The sequence below is a fragment of the Homo sapiens genome, chromosome 12 (genome assembly GCF_000001405.40).
Source record: "Homo sapiens chromosome 12, GRCh38.p14 Primary Assembly".
Classification (NCBI taxonomy): Eukaryota; Metazoa; Chordata; class Mammalia; order Primates; family Hominidae; genus Homo; species Homo sapiens.
In genome coordinates, this window is record NC_000012.12 from 43,766,383 (window position 1) to 43,781,008 (window position 14,626).

Below are 14,626 nucleotides of genomic sequence, written 5' to 3' on the forward strand. Positions count from 1 at the left end.
CTTGATATCCCTATTCCAGACTGCCTCTGCTTGATGCCCCTTTTCTGGGCCCCATAACATTCTTGCAGCATTTATCACTCCCTGTCACTGTTTGTATCCCCTGGTATACTGAACAGCTTGGAAACAAAGATTTTCTCTTCTCTGTGCTCCCACTTGTTAGTACAAAGACTGACATAAATATTTTCTGAATGTATTCATGAATGAAAGGAAAGGAATGGTCTTTCTGAAATAGAGAATGGCATGAACAATGCATTGTGTTATAAAAGCAGAGTTGTATGGCATGACTTTTGGAGTCAGACATAATTGTAAGTCCTGGATCTCTCACTTACCACCTTTGTAAAATAGAGATGATAAAACTGTACTGGGAAATAATTTAGTTGTTCCAAAAGTAAATACTGAACAATACCATTATCTACAGTATGCAAGTCACTAGGTGTATATTCATGAATAAAATTAGCATGGTCCTGAACTCATGGATCTTAAAATCGAATATGGGAGACAGTAAACAGGTAAACAAATAAGTATATGATTACAAATACATTGTGCAGTGATGAAAGATAATTAGGTGAAGGGCAGCTAGACCTATTTAGATGTGGTCAAAGAAGTCCAAAGAGAAGAAGTGAATACTAACATAGAAGCCTCTGATACAGAGAAGCTTTTCGCTTTTTACTCTTTTTGATAGTTTTAGAATGTTGTTCCATATGAACACATTATTTACTCTAAAATTGTATTTTTAAAATATATATAGGGAAGCAAAAATAATTGACAGAAGAATATCTGAGTCTATTTGTCTTAATTGGAAGGAAAGATCATTTCCTATTGAGAATGAGGGACACGCAGAACAAATAAAATCCACATAGAAAGAAGTAAAGGTATGAAATAGTCACTAAGGACTATGAGAGAAGACAAGTGGAAGGATTAACGGCAGTGTTGAAGGCCCTGTGGAAAGGGGGTTACCATAAATTTGTATTCACATCAGCAACCCTGGTGTACAAGTAAAGTTGTTAGATTTATCCCTGGCTGCAGCTCTCCAGGATGGAGTAGCAGAAGTAAAGGGGGATTGCAGAAATAAAGATTCTGTCTAGAGAGTAGTTGAAGTGGTGAAGCACAGGTTTTGGCGTAGTAGCAAATGAATTGTGGTCAGGCAGATCTCATGGACTCAAAAAATGTGCAGAGGTCAAGGAAGAGCAAAGTATGTGAAAAGTGGGTGGGTGGACCATATCTGTTAATGCTACACAAATCATTTCAGTACGTTTTTTTTTTTTACTTCTACCAAAGAATGTTGCATAAATTTTAATTGTAAATAAGTACTAATTGAGAAACATAAATTGAAAGGTAAATGTTTTTATTAATAGATTTGATTTCTGAATATGCTAATTCTGATAGTTTGTTGATATTACTCTTAAGAATTTTTCTGGTAAGTTTTTTGCCCCTTTCTATAAATTTTACTAGGAAAATATCAGTGTCAGAAAAAAGTCCTCCGATTTTTATTGCTATTAATGGGTGGAAAAAGGAAGCAAACCCAGAGGATAATTGGACAAATGAATTACAATTTTAATTTCATCTTAGGATATCAATGACTTGACTTTGGAATGTTTCTTTATTATGGTATAATCAGTTGCTGACATTTCATATGATATAGCAAAGTGTGATATATAAGCTTACAGATGTCATCTCTAAAAGTACTGTAAAATTTTAATGAGATTTTTCCATATTTTAGGAATAGAAGATGAACAAACCCATAACACCATCAACATATGTGCGCTGCCTCAATGTTGGACTAATTAGGAAGCTGTCAGATTTTATTGATCCTCAAGAAGGATGGAAGAAGTTAGCTGTAGCTATTAAAAAACCATCTGGTGATGATAGATACAATCAGTTTCACATAAGGTAACAGATAAAATTCTTTGTATTTTTAAATTCTTACATCACAATATGGAATGATTAATTGGTATAAGTACTGTCTAATGTGGCAGTTTAGAAAGTAAACCTCTCCACTATGGAGGAGACATTGGTAGTAGGTAACCTCTTTTTGATTGTTCCTTTTGCAGTTTTGTCTTCTTTGTCCCATATGTCAATAGGGCTAATACTGTGATCTCTCAAATAAGTTTTTTGGGTTAGAATCAAGATTCCCACCTTTGCTGTGGTTCCCTGTTTGGCAAGCCAAGTGAAGTTCACTCTGCCTCACACTTCTCATTTCCAGATTGAAGGAAAATAAGAATGTTACAAGAATGTCTGGTAAAAATCTAGAGCTTAAATTTCAAAGTGTGTGAATCTCTAACACACTCTAACAATGTATTTTGGGACTTTTTCAATTTGACGTTTTAAAGTTGTTGCTTACAAGTGTACACTTCTGTGCACAGAATTCTTAAATCTTAGCTAGGATTTCTCAGTGCTGTCTTCAGATAATTTCAATTTTTCCTTTTTACTCATCTCTGCTCAATTTAGTGTAAAATATGCATGCATATTTTATTTTTGTCAGTCATTGCAGTTAAAACCTATGTCAAAATGTTTCTTTGGTAGCAAAAGGAAAAGAAGACTATTTGTTATTTTCAGCATTAATCTGGGAAAGAACCTAAAAGACTTGGCTCCCTTGCAGGAAATATTTCCTCATAAGAAGAGCGAACATGTTAAATTACTTGAAAGAAGCTTAAGTTTAAACTGTGTTAAGCCAATGTTTAAAGATAATTTTTTGATATTACTGTTAAAAACTTATGGAAGATAATTGGGGCAGTGGTGGCAGGAAGATAAAGCTCTTCTCTTTTTTTTTTCTTTTTTCCAAGACTCATTCCTGTGACAGAAAAAGCTTTTCTTTACAGAATAATACCTGCAAATAATTGTGAAAAGAATGGTAGAATGAGAAAAATACCTATTTGCAACCACCAATGAGTAACTGATTCATGCAAGGCTCATCACTGAACCTAAAAGCATAAGGTGAAAGGTGGTTGTTCTCGTGCATGTGAGCAGGATATGCACAAGATTTTAAAGTATTATAGGCTGAGCACAGTGGCTCATGCCTGTAATCCTAACACTTGTGGAGACCGAGGTGGGCAGATTGCTTGAGCCCAGGAGTTCAAGACCAGCCTGGACAACATGGTAAAACCCCATCACTACAAAAAATTAGCTGGGTGTGGTAGTGCACGCCTGTAGTCCCAGCTACTTGGGAGGTTGAGGTGGGAGGATCACCTGAGCCCAGGAAGTCAAGGCTGCAGTGAGCCATGATCATGCCACTGCACTCCAGCCTGAGTGACAGAGCAAGACCCCCTCAATAGATAGAGAAAAAGTATTGTACACAAATTACTTGTGAAGTATGAAAGAGAAGGGTACATTTTTAATGAGGAAATCTGAAGTACACTTCCTTCACCAAGTGATCAAACTTTAGCACCAATAATAATGGTACAAAATGCTAATATGTACCCCTGGATGTGATACAATGGGAAAGGCACATTATACCTATGTAGTATTTCTACCAAAATGCTTAATCTGAATTTAATCATGAGAAAGTAGTCAGATAAATCTAGGCTGTTAGACCCATTCTATAAGACATCTGGCCCGTATTCTAAAACACACACACCCACAGACACAGATTGAAAGAGAGAATGCACAAGAGCCCAGATATGGCACAATTTTATCAATTATTCAATTGGTGAATCTAGGTGAATGGTTGTTCATTCTATCATTTTTTCAACTTTTCTGTAAGTTTGAAATTTTTAAAAATAAAATCTTTAGAGGAAAAACAGAAAGAAACAATATTGGTTAAATTTTTAAATGTTACTTTTCAAAACTAATTTTTGATTTTAAAGAAATGGAAAGAAATGGGTTGAAAGCCGACTTTGTGATTTTTTTCAATTTAATTGAATTACAGTTAAGATCAAAGGAATAATTTCCTAAGTTTTTGTGTGTTCTGTTTCTTTAATTAAGCAGGTGCATTTATTAAAAATTATATAGCTATCAGAGTCTTAAGTCATGTGGGAAGTAATATTGCTAGTAGATTAAGAATACACTCTTTTGTCAAATGAGATCTGAATTTGTACCTCAACTTGGATACATCATATTGGCTGTGTGGCTATGGGCTGGTTACTCTACCTCTCCAAGCCTGGCTTTTTCACTAGTAAATTCATATGATAATCATAATATCTTTGAACATGCTCATGTGTGTGCATCCTATAACCCACTAAGTAAATATCCAGTAAGTACCCAGTAAATTATTATCATCATCTTTGGCATCTTTTTTCCTCCTATCTTTCCTGTCTCTCTGTAATTCTTGCTGGTTCTCTTGTTGTCCCTTTTCTTTAATGTTGTAGGAGATGCTGTGGGCAAAATGGGCAGGGGAGATCAACACCTATTTTCATATGACCTCAGTTTATAAATGCTATTGTTTGAATGTGTCCCCAAAAGTTCATGTGTTAGAAACTTAATACCCATTGCAACAGGGTTGATAGGTGGGACCTTTAAAGGGTAGTTAGGCCATGAGAGCTTTGCCCTTATGAGTGGATTAATGTCGTCATGGCAGGAGTGGGTTAGTTATCTAGGGAGTGGGTTTCTGATAAAAGGATAAGTTAGGCCCTATTTTTCTTTTTCTCTCTCTCTCTTTTTTTTTCTCTTTCACATGCACGTGTGCATGCTCTTTTGCCCTTCTGCCCTTCCACCATGAGATGATGTAGCAAGAAGGCCCTAACCAGATGCAGCCTCTCGATCTTGGACTTCCCAGCCTCCAGAACCGTGAGCCAAATTAACTATTATTTATAAATTACCCTGTCTGTGGTATTCTATTATTGCAGCACAAAATGGACTAAGACAATAGACTAATTTTGTTTCTTTGTTACTTACTTTTAAGGAGATTTGAAGCATTACTTCAAACTGGAAAAAGTCCCACTTCTGAATTACTGTTTGACTGGGGCACCACAAATTGCACAGTTGGTGATCTTGTGGATCTTTTGATCCAAAATGAATTTTTTGCTCCTGCGAGTCTTTTGCTCCCAGGTAAACTGATTGTGACCAGGGTGTCCACAATTAGGGTGGAAAGACAAATGGCAGAAATATAAATGTTTCTTCTTACTCTTCCTTTTTTCTCATAGTAGATGAAGCTTACATTTGAGAGTCCCTTTCTTTCAGCACTCCTCAACTCTTTAAAAAGCAGCACAGACAAAGGACACTGTGGACTCTGCTGCTAAGGTGATAGAAGCTTCGTAAGAGTTAGATAGTTTTGTGCCAACAGGAAGTTTAGAAGGAAAGACTTCATACTTCTGGCTTAGGCTGTAAGAAAGTAATTATAATTTTGAGTTCTTCCTTTTTTTCATCTTCAACTTCTACCCTGATGGGACTCTATAATCATAATTTTAAAAAATTGTATTCTGATGTGGTAGTGTCTAGTTGCCTTCCTTATAAGCTTTCTTTTTTTCCTTTGATGCCTTTCACACCAGTGGTTCTCAACCTTTATCATGCATAAGAATCACTTAGGTTCTGGTTAAACATGTAGTTTCCTAGGGTCTGTTCCAAATCTATGTAATCAGAATTCTGGAATTGGGTTTAAGGTCTATATTCTTAAACAGGTGCTTCAGTGCCTCTGATATAGGTGGCTCATGGATCACTGTTTGAAAACACTGCCTTACTCTCTTTACCCATCTTCATTATAACTTACAGATTCTTACTAGGCAGCTTCTTGTGTGTGCTGTGAGAATATGAGACCAACCTGTAGAAACTGGAATGATATTAAATGAACCAAGTTTCTAGTTTAACTTTTTCACAACCACTTTTTCTTACTGAAAAACCACTTGTATCTTACTTCATTTGTTAGATGCTGTTCCCAAAACTGCTAATACACTACCTTCTAAAGAAGCTATAACAGTTCAGCAAAAACAGATGCCTTTCTGTGACAAAGACAGGACATTGATGACACCTGTGCAGAATCTTGAACAAAGCTATATGCCACCTGACTCCTCAAGTCCAGAAAATAAAAGTTTAGAAGTTAGTGATACACGTAAGTAACATTTTCAGTGCTTTCCACTAGGGATTTGTCATTAAGACTACCAGTGCTTTAAAAGAAAGCTCTTGCTCTTTTGTTTGTGCAGCAATCACAGGCACACTGGCAATAGCTCTTTTGTGAGTTGTTTCCTCCTGATATATTAAGAACCATCTTCATTGTATTAATCAGTGATTAGAGGCAATAGGACATGCAAACAACCAGAGAAGCTATGAAAAAAAATAAGTAAATATTTACATAACTTGGAAAGGTCACTTTTTAAAATAAAATATGTGACTAGAGTTTTGGGTAGGTAGACTAGACCCACTCAAATGTGTGACTAGAATTTTGGGTGGGTGACTACAGTGTTCAGAGGGTAGGATCACCAAACAGAGTTCTCAAGAAAAACTTATAATTTGTATTTTAGAAATGGTTTTATCTTCTCTCATCTTGTCTAATTCAAAATCATAAATATTTGCATATATGTGAAATCTTCAAATGAGAAAATATTATAATTATTAAAACGAATTTTTAAAATTTAAGCATGTTTTTCTTATTTTGACATAGGTTTTCACAGTTTTTCATTTTATGAATTGAAGAATGTCACAAATAACTTTGATGAACGACCCATTTCTGTTGGTGGTAATAAAATGGGAGAGGGAGGATTTGGAGTTGTATATAAAGGCTACGTAAATAACACAACTGTGGCAGTGAAGAAGCTTGCAGCAGTAAGTTATATTTTCAGGAATAAAAAGAAAGAGTTGCTTCATAGTGTGCCCTATAATAGGTTTTAAAGTTAATCTTTAGGAAATACATTATTTCAGTATGTATTTTCTTTAAATAAACATCATTCTAAATAGTAGTTCTTAAAATTTTAAAATCTGTTGAACACTATGGACCCTACCCCTAGAAAAATGTGGTTATGTCCATGTACACAAGATCATACATACAATTTTGGGAGATTCACAAACTAAAGTTGAGAAGCCCTGCTCCACATAGTGCTTCATGTGTAATCAAGATTAAAATGGTAAGATACCAGGAAAACTATTTTTAAAAAACCTTGTTTGCATTACTTTTCCCATTTAAAAATAAAATTTAGGAAGTATACATTAAGAAAAAACATTAAAATTTTTTTTATCTGTGTCCTTTGTTGCCATTTCTACTGAGGTGTTTACCTTTTACTTACTTGTTATATTCTAAATCTTTTGTTAGAGCCTAAAAATATCAATAGAATGCATATGTATGTGATAAAGATAGTCACTCTTTGTCATATATGTTGCAGGGCTTTTGTAGGGTTTTTTTTTCCATTTTGCACCTAAATTGCTTATGTTTTCTGTTTCCTAGAATTTTTTTCAAATTTTTTTGTGTAGTGAAATTTCGTGTTATTTCATTTTGTTTCCACAACTCAGTGAAATTTATATATATTTTTCATTCCACTAACCAGCCATGGGCCTTGAGCAAATCACTAGTATTTCTAGATCTCAGTTATTCTGTAGAATTGGGAGAATAATACACTATTGTTTTAAAGAAAGGGAGATGAGCCAGCTGATCTCTTGATCCCTCTGAGCATTAGGAACCTTAGAATTGTGTAGTATTACATTGTATATTTTATTTTTTCAGATGGTTGACATTACTACTGAAGAACTGAAACAGCAGTTTGATCAAGAAATAAAAGTAATGGCAAAGTAAGTCTTAATCTGGCAGTGCGGTGTAGTGGAAAGAAAAAAGACAAGGAGTAAAGAACCTGGTTCACTCTAGAGTATGCCATGAACTAGTGATGTTTGCACATATATGAAATTAAAATAAAGTGTTTAGATTAGAGAAATTGAAAGTACTTTTGGCTCCATAATTCTATGATTACATATACTCATATGCCTGGAGATTAAATAGCAGTCATTTTTATTTATTTATTTTTTTTGAGACAGAGTCTCGCTCTTTTGCCCAAGCTGGAGTGCAGTGGCATGATCTCGGCTCACTGCAACCTCTGCCTCCCAGGTTCAAGCGATTCTCCTGCCTCAGCCTCCCGAGTAGCTGGACCTACAGGCGTGTGCCACCATGCCTGGCTAATTTTTTTCTGTATTTTTAGTAGAGACGGGGTTTCACCGTGTTAGCCAGGATAGTCTCGATCTCCTGACCTTGTGATCCACCTGCCTCAGCCTCCCAAAGAGCTGGGATTACAGGCGTGACCACGCCTGGCCGCAGTCATTATTTTAAGTCACAACAAAGTTACGTGAAATTTCACTATCATGTCCTTCATTATCATGTTTTCCACTTCCAGAATTCATGAGAGATCAATTGTAGAGATACTTAAAAACAACTATCTATAGAGTAATAGGCCCTTATATATAAAGTAGCATCTATAGAGCAACTAGAGTCATGTTATCTGTAAGGATGCTTAGAAGGCATTGATCCTGTGTGCTGGAAAATTGTTGGACATCATCAGGAAAAGTAGGAGGGACAAAGTAGGAAATGTATTCTAATTATTATAGTGATTAATAGTGATTGATATTTGAGTGTGTGCAACATGCCAGACATTGTGCTATGTACTTTATGTGCATTGTCTGTCTAACCCTTACAACTGTTACAACTGCCCATTTTGTTTGTTAACTGAGATTTAGAAACATTAAATAGCTTGTCCAAGATCACATAGCCAGTAAGTGTTAGAGATGGGATTGAAATCCAGATCTGTTTGATTGCGGAGCCTGAACTTTAGATCTGAATCGTAATGGGATTTACCAAATTATACCCATTAAACCCACTGCTGTAAATCACCAATCATAGTTACCTAACCTCAAGTAAGAAGAATAGACTAGAATTGATTTATGCACGGTAAAAATGATACATGCTGAAAAAAGATCAAACTTTTTTTTTCAGGATTTGTCTTCTTCACTCCTACCCCTACTCTCCAATTCTAAAAGTAACTTGTTCACAGTAGGTCATCTGGAAAATACAGGAAAACATTTTTAAAATATACAAGCCTATATGCATGCAGGACTTAATACGTAGGTGATGGGTTGATAGGTGCAGCAAACCACTATGGTACACGTTTACCTGTATGACAAACCTGCACATTCTGTACATGTATCCCGGAACTTAATAATACAAACCATCTCTCAAATATATCACTCAGAGATAACCACTGCTAATATTTTTATATACTTGCTTCATGATGTGTGTGTAGCATTTTCCCATGTCACTAAAAATAATTTGAAAACATTTTAAATTATTGTACAACAGTCTAGCATATGTGAAAATCATATTTTATTTAACCATAGCTAGGTTTGTTTCTAATTTTCAGTATTAAAAATAAAGCTTCTTTAAAGTTCTTTGCACATAAATCTTTAAATGCAGTTATACTTACTTTATCATCTAGGGTAAAGTCCTAGAAAAAGAATTACTAGGTAGGAATGCATGAACTTTTTAAAGACTTTCTAAATACACATTCAAATGGCTTTTGAGATAAGTTACTACCAGCAATGTATTACAATTTCAAACTTTACTGGTTCCTTACCTTCATTTAATATCATTACTTTTTTTTTTTTTTTTTTTTTTTTTGAGACGGAATCTCGCTCTGTTGCCCAGGCTGGAATGCAGTGGTGCGATCTTGGCTCACTGCAAGCTCCGCCTCCCAGGTTCACGCCATTCTCCCGCCTCAGCCTCCAGAGTAGCTGGGACTACAGGCGACCGTCACCATGCCCGGCTAATTTTGTTTTTGTATTTTTAGTAGAGACGGGGTTTCACCACGTTAGCCAGGATGGTTTAGATCTGACGTCGTGATCTGCCTGCCTCGGCTGGGAATACAGGCGTGAGTCACTGCGCCCGGCCTATTATTACAATTTTTTAATAAGTGCCAGTCTCTGGATCTTACTAGCAGAATGAACTTGGCCAAGTTTTTTAACTTTCTATTCGTTAATTTTCTCATCTATAAAATGGGACAATAGTACTTACTTAAGTTATTGTGAGGATTAAATAAAACAGATAAATCACTTGCCACACTGCCTCGTTTATAGTATAAATTCAGCAAACGTTAACTACTCATGTTTAAAATGTGCCAGTTTGGTGGAAAATGGGACACTTACTGTTTTAATTTGCACTTCTTCAAATATTTATGAGACTAGAAGAAATTGATATAATGAACTGCTAGAATTGTGGATCATTTTGAATGAACAAAATGAATAAGCACTTAAATAATAAAACACTTATCATGTGCCAGATACGTTTCTAGGCTGTCATGTTTACATTTGCTCATTTAATTGTCTCAGCATCCATATTACATACTGTTTTCTGCATTTAGCAGATAAAGGAGCTGAGGCTCAGTAAGGCTGTTAACTTGCGGTAGGTCACATATCCAGGAGGGGGCAGAACTAGACTTTAAATTTAGGATGTATAACTCTGAGCCCTGTTTTCTTTCGTCTTACCACAGATGCTGCCACTTTATTAGATTGTAGGTCTCTTTAGTTTTATTACTCTCAAGTATATAAAGACACTCAAATTAGGTTATAAATAATCCAGTGTGATTAAAGATCAAAAACATGTAAATTAGATGTGATTCAAGATCATGTCTGTAAATCAGTGCTTTGAGTGTGTTAGAAAATTCTTGACAGTATTAGCATAAAAATTCAACGGACTTCTTGAAATCTTATTTGTGCCATCATTGAAAATTGGGCTAAAGAAAGTGAGCATCAGCCTAGTCCTTAACCAAACTTATCACAAGTTCCAAAAATCTGAATTATTTAGCTTTTACTGTAAAATAGAAAGAGGTTTGGCCAGCTGTAGTGGCTCACACCTGTAATCCCAATACTTTGGGAGGCCAAAGTGGTAGGAGCACTTGAGGCCAGCAGTTTGAGACCAGTCTGGGAAACACAGTGAGACCTCATCTTTACAAAAAAATTTAAAAAGTAGCTGAGTGTGGTGTACACCAGTAGTCCAAGCTACTTGGGAGGATGAGTTAGGAGGATCACTTGAGTCCAGATGGTCGAGGCCGCAGTGAGCTATGATTACACCACTGCACTCCAGCCTGGGCAACAGAGTTAGACCCTGTCTCAAAAAAAAGAAAAAGAGGTTTTACTTCTAATGTTGATTAATACTGGCTGAAAAGAGAAGTATTTGCAGAAAATTATAAACAGTTACAATAAACATATATAAACATAAACATCAAGTTAGAAATAATATATAACATACTATTTTTTTGCTCTTTTTTTCTATTAAAACTTTGAATAACTTCCAACCTATAGCTGAATATATATTTATTATAATAATTTTGCATGAAAAATTATTTGTCACAGGTGTCAACATGAAAACTTAGTAGAACTACTTGGTTTCTCAAGTGATGGAGATGACCTCTGCTTAGTATATGTTTACATGCCTAATGGTTCATTGCTAGACAGACTCTCTTGCTTGGTAAGCTATTTGTTCATCAGATTGTTTGGCTTTTTGTTTATATGCTGGAATATTAATATTCATTTTGTTACTGGATTATTTAAACCAAATTCACTTTCATATTTTTCCTGCTCTATGAAAATTATACAGTTGATATGTCAACAAATTATACAGTTGATATGTCAACAACTGGGTTGCCATTTTATTAGGTGGTAATCTTAAATGTAGAATTCAGTTAAGACTATACTAGGAAGATGCTTTTATATATTTTTATCTTCAAATAACAAATGTAAACACCCATTTGAGCTTATTTAGATATTATTTTTAATAACTTAAAAATGTAGTCCTAAATTATTAATGCTATAACATCATCTTCAGTTGTTGCCTAGAAAAATATTCTGTGTTATATATTCTCTGTAGATTTTTTATTATTCTTTCTCATTTTTAATTTGGTTTATTTCTTTATAAGGATGGTACTCCACCACTTTCTTGGCACATGAGATGCAAGATTGCTCAGGGTGCAGCTAATGGCATCAATTTTCTACATGAAAATCATCATATTCATAGAGATATTAAAAGGTAAATGCTACTGTTTAAAAGTTTTTGGAAAGCTGTCTTTAAAGAATAATTTGCTGTCACTCTATTCACGATTCATATGCAGGTCTTAACCTAGAGCATCTGGACTTTTTTCCCATCACTCCATGAAAGCTCTTCTCAATAAGGACATCTATAATCTCCTTTATTCCAAGCCCAGTGACCTACTTCCAGTACTCATCCTACTTGACCTTTTTTGTTTGTTTTAATAGTAGTTTATTCTGTTCTTCTTGACACTTTTGCCTTATGGAAATTAGTTGTTTTCTTAGTTTATGGATCACTATTCTTTTCTGAATCACCTTCATCCTCCATGAGTACTTTTCAGTTCTCTTTCTTTCTTGTGTATTTATCTAGTTAAATATTTACCTACTATAAGTAACATATTCATATATAGAGCTCAACATCAATCAAATAAGCACAAAATAATTATAGAATGTTAATATGTACAGTTCACATATATATTATATGTATTATTATTATATAGTATAGTACATAGGATTAATATAAAGAAGGGTTTCCAAGAAAGTGACATTTAAGCAGAGATTCAAAGAATGGGCAGGAAATAAGTAGACACAATTTGAGGGTAACTGTAGAATGGATGATGGGGAGAAGAACATTCTAGGCAGAAGGAACTGCATTTGTAAGACCAGTGGTGAGACAGAATATGGGAGCATGATGAGTTACAAGAAATGAAATATGCTTTGGGAGCCAAGATAGGAGGATCATTTGAGGCCAGGAGTAGCAGACCTGACTATGTTCCCTGAACAACATAGCAAGACCTCATCTCTACAAAAAAACTAGTCAAACGTGGTATTGCATGCCTACAGTTCCAGACACTAGGGCAGCTGAGGAGGGAGGAGGCTTGAGCCCAGGAGTTCAAGGTTGAAGTGAGCTATGATCGTGCCAGTGCTCCCCAGCCTGGGTAATAAAGTAAGACTCTGTCTAAAAAAAAATGAAGTAAATGCAGTATGACTGAGATGCAGAAAGTTATAGGGTGGTGGATTGGAGATAAAACTACAGAGAAGTGTAGGAAGCTAAGTCCTATAGGACTTAATAGATCAAGGTAAGGCTTTTAGTTTTATCACAAGTGTAATGAGATGCCGTTGAAAATTTTAAGTAGGAATATGGCATCATATTTAAGTTTTGCAAAGATGATTTTAACTCTAGTGTAGAGAACAGTTTGTAAGAAGAGGCAGTTAGTAGGCTATCATAGGTGGCAGTTCATAAGAAGAGAGGGGAGCAGATTAGAAAGATTAAAATGGCAAAACTTGTTGATACCTTGGCTATGCAGGGGTTCAGGAAGAGCGAAGTATCAGGAATGACTCCTGGAATAATGGCATCCAGACTTGCATTCTGGAATGATTATGGCATGATTCACTTATGTAGAAAGGACTGAAAAAAGACTTGGTTAGGTTGGGGTTAGAGAGATGGTTAGAAAATGTGAATTCTCTTTTGTACATGTTGTGTTTGGGGTGCTTTTAAGATGTAGTAGTAGAGATGGTAGACAGTGTGATATACAGATTTGGAGCTGGAGGTCTGAGCTGAAGATATAAATGTGTATTACTTGCATACAGGTGATAATTGAAGTGACTGTATTCACTTGAGGGGAGATGTAGATTAAGAAAAGGTCACAAGATTAAGTCTTGGGGAACCCTAAGACTTAATGGCCAAATAGAAGAGATGATCACAAAAAGGAATCTAAGGAAGTACACATACAGAGAAGGGTAAGATGAAAACCTGGAGAGTGTGGAGTCCCTGAAAACGAGGAAAGAAAGTGTTTCCCAAGAGGGAGTAGTCAAAAAGAGTCAAGGGCTTTAATCATTGGATTAGCATCACCATGGTCTTTGGTGACTTTATGGAAACCCATTTCCAGGTAGTAGTTGGTTTAGAAATCACATTGTAGTTGAGAGAGTGAGAGCTAGAGAACTGAGATAGGAGTATAGACAAGTCTTTTAAGACATTTTACTAGTGAAGGGGACAGCTAGAAATAGATAAGTCATTCAGGAAACTTTTTTTAAGCTGGCAGAGATTAAGCTGTGCTTATGTGCCTATAGGAAGGATCCAGATTAAAAGGGAGAGGATAGTATGGAAGAGAGAAATGAGATGATGTGTTCAGTAGGGTTACTGAGAATGTAGAAAGCAGCTCAAGCAGAGGAACTGACCCTAGATGAGAAAAGAAACGCCATCTCCTATCCTTCATGGATTGGTACTTTCTTGTGTTCTTATATCATTGTCTCTTTTCTCCCTGTATGTTCTTTTTTTTTTTTTTTTTGAGACAAGTTTCACTCTTGTTGCCCAGGCTGGAGTGCGATGGCGCGGTCTTGGCTCACTGCAACCGTCGCCTCCCGGGTTCAAGAGATTCTCGAGCCTCAGCCTCCTGAGTAGCTTGGATTACAGGCATCCACCACCACGCTCTGCTAATTTTGTATTTTTAGTAGAGATGGGGTTTCTCCATGTTGATCAGGTTGGTCTTGAACTCCCGACCTCAGGTGATCCGCCCGCCTTGGCCTCCCAAAGTGCTGGGATTACAGGCATTAGCCACCCGCCTGGCCTCTCTCTGTATGTTTTTGCTGAGTGATATTATGTTAATTTTAACTGCTACTTATATGTGAGTGTCTTTTGAATCTGTATTATTAGCTTCCAATCCTGGATTTTTAGTATCCCCGTACCAAAAACACTTCATCTGGGTAT

General features: G+C 35.8%; 1 protein-coding gene across 19 annotated transcripts in view; it reads left to right on the forward strand.

Moving 5' to 3' along the window:
- The window catches only part of IRAK4 (interleukin 1 receptor associated kinase 4), a 30,591-nt gene that overhangs the window by 7,432 nt on the left and 8,533 nt on the right, over nt 1-14,626 (forward strand). For 9 of the 19 annotated variants that reach the window (XM_011538431.3, XM_006719438.4, XM_005268945.5 and 6 more), the window contains 7 exons: nt 1,721-1,890; nt 4,838-4,983; nt 5,798-5,980; nt 6,530-6,690; nt 7,583-7,647; nt 11,248-11,362; nt 11,811-11,920. In XM_011538431.3, the coding sequence (XP_011536733.1) occupies nt 1,730-1,890; nt 4,838-4,983; nt 5,798-5,980; nt 6,530-6,690; nt 7,583-7,647; nt 11,248-11,362; nt 11,811-11,920 (941 nt within the window). In that variant the 5' untranslated portion in view covers nt 1,721-1,729. Of the gene's footprint in view, nt 1-1,720; nt 1,891-4,655; nt 4,723-4,837; nt 4,984-5,797; nt 5,981-6,529; nt 6,691-7,582; nt 7,648-11,247; nt 11,363-11,810; nt 11,921-14,626 lie in introns of all 19 variants that reach the window. The other 10 variants (NM_001351341.2, NM_001351339.2, NM_001351340.2 and 7 more) reach the window with 5 other exon arrangements.